This window comes from Homo sapiens, chromosome 3, assembly GCF_000001405.40.
Source record: "Homo sapiens chromosome 3, GRCh38.p14 Primary Assembly".
Lineage (NCBI taxonomy): Eukaryota > Metazoa > Chordata > Mammalia > Primates > Hominidae > Homo > Homo sapiens.
The window spans coordinates 63,067,864-63,070,408 of record NC_000003.12 but is presented as its reverse complement, the minus strand read 5'-3'; the positions used below and the strand labels follow the sequence as shown (position 1 = coordinate 63,070,408).

Sequence of the window (2,545 nt, the reverse complement as noted above, 5' to 3'; positions counted from 1 at the left end):
AGAGAATTATAACACTGGCCCAATAGAGAGTGCTTAAGTGCATTAGCTTTGTTTGCACTCAGCAGAGGTGGGGGTAAGCCCTGATTCTGTCACCTGATTCTGAGTTACATGATCAGTGCCTCTAGTCCTCAGTTCTTTCATCTTGAAAACAGGCACGACAGTAATAAATAATTCTTAGAGTTGTTGCACATAATGCACATAGTGCATTTAGAACAACACTGACATCATATTAACCAGTCAACACATTTTAGCTAGCTTTGTTATTCATTAGCTTCTCAAACTTTTTTCATCACATTTATTAATGTTTTGTACATTATTTTTTGTAAATCATATACCTAGAGTTGGCATGTACCCACCAGTTACCTTTAGCTGGGTCAGTAGGAGGAATTTTACTGCTTGGATTTTTAATTCTGAGCCAGAGAATGTAGTGACTCATACGCAGCTAACTTCCCTTTGCCACACAGTATAAAGATTTGCACATCATGCCAAAATTCATTCCCTGTTAAAGGTACCAAGAGGAGAGCTGTAGAGGAAGACAGTTGTCTTCTTAAAAATCAGCTTTAAAAATTAAGTGTAATACTTCCAGTTCCTCCCCTCCCCAGGCTCCAAATCTTTTTTTTTTTTTTTTTTTTTTAAATCTGGAAGTCTTGGCTGGGATATGAAAGCTGAATGAGGAATGTTTTATATCAGCTCAGGGGTCAAACACATCTGGTTTCCAGTCCTGAAGTTACCATTATAAGCTGTGTGATCTTAGAAAAGGCACTTAAATTTTTTATGTTTCTGTTTAATCATTCTTATAATAATTACTTATTAATGGAATTATTGTGAAGATGTAATCAGTCAATTCATTTTCCAGTATCTGAAAAATGCTAAGTGCTGCATGTCAGCCATGTGAACTCTTAGCATCTTATCCTATTGTGTGACCCTTATTATAATATTCCTACATTTGTTAAAGGAACCCATGCCCTTTAGGATTGGAAAGGTTTCAATTACATTCCCTTTCAACCTCTATTTTTTTTTAAATATAAAACCCATAATCCTTTTAGAAAATCTACATTTCTTTCATCCTTCAAAATGTTGTAGTCACCTGGCAACTTCTCCTAAAGCTACTTCTTCAATCTTTCTGGCAACACTTAATAAGACCTTTTTAAGATAGCCCTTTCATCTACATTGCCAAGTACAGGGCCTTGTCCATAATAGGCACTCAATAAATATTTGCTGAATAGATGAATGAATAAATGCAGCCAAGACATGCAAAAGTATTCATAGCATTAAGCTAAAAACAAGGCAGCTTTGATTCTCTGTAGACATGAGTTGGGGCTCAATTACCACATCCCTTTCAAAGAATTGTTCCAAATCAGTCACTCATAAGGAATTATATAAAGACCTATTTATCATAATGCTATTAGAAAACACAAGGGTGGGAAAGGGGACTGTCGCCTCTGCATTGAGTGTCTTTTGGTTCTTACTCTGGCCAAAAATCCATGTCATCTAGACAGAGCCAAGATCAAAGGGGAAACACCTAGGCACTCATCTCCAGGTGCCTTTGTTGGCTGAAAATTGGCAGCAACTCAAGTGTTTAGAACTGCTTAGTGAGCCCTTAAAAGTCAATTAGATCATTTTACTCCCTGTTTAAAACTACCCAATGATATTCTGTGACACTTAAAACCCAAACTCCTCACCATAACTTAAAAGGTCCTATTTGATCTGAGTCCTGACTACCTTTCTACTCAGCTATTGTTTTCTCAAAGAGCCATCCCCTTTCACTTCCCCATCCCCAGTGGATGCTCTTTATCCCTTAAGACAGAGGTCTGCAAACTTTTTCTGTGAAGAGCCAGATAGTCAATATGTTAGGCTTTGAGGGCCATACTATCTCTGCCACAACTACTCAGCTCTGCCATTGTTGTATGAAAGCAGTTATAGACAATGTGTAAATACATGATTTCCGATTGGCTGTGTTCTAATAAAATTGTATTTACAGAAACAGGAGACCAACTGTAAATGGCCTGTGGACCATAATTTGCCAACTCCTTCCCAAAGATAAGACTCCTCCCATCACTCTCTATCTTCATATCCTACTTTAGTTGCTGTAGAATATTTTCACATTTGTTACTTACCTGGTTCAGCTACTAGGATGTAGCCATCATGAGGACAGGATCTTCGTTTTGTTGACTGCAATATATTCAGCACCGAGGACAGCTCCTAGTGCATAATGTCTGTTTGGTTAAGTGTTGAATTGAATGACTTCAATTTCTATTACTTCTGCTCTCATTCACTACCCAGACCTCCTTTCAGTTCTCTAGACACTTCAGGCTCATTCTTGCCTCTTAGGCTTTGCATCCTCTTCCCTTATATTTAGGGAATGAAATTCAGATCTCAGATCAAATGATATCTCTTAGCCCTTCCTGATAATTCTAAACAAACCTTCCCAGAAGCCTTAGCCTGTTTTATTTTCTCCATAACATTTATTAACAACTGGAATTTTTTTTTACCTGATTCTTGTACACCCTCCCCTATGATTTCAGAAAGATTCTTGGCCTCCTCA

At 37.6% G+C, this 2,545-nt stretch overlaps 1 annotated feature.

Moving 5' to 3' along the window:
* Positions 2,089-2,289: a silencer, noted in NCBI's record as "peak4679 fragment used in MPRA reporter construct". NCBI's record gives its function as "represses an SCP1 promoter by STARR-seq MPRAs in K562 erythroleukemia cells {active_cell/tissue: K562}" and the evidence as "EXISTENCE:reporter gene assay evidence [ECO:0000049][PMID:32103011]".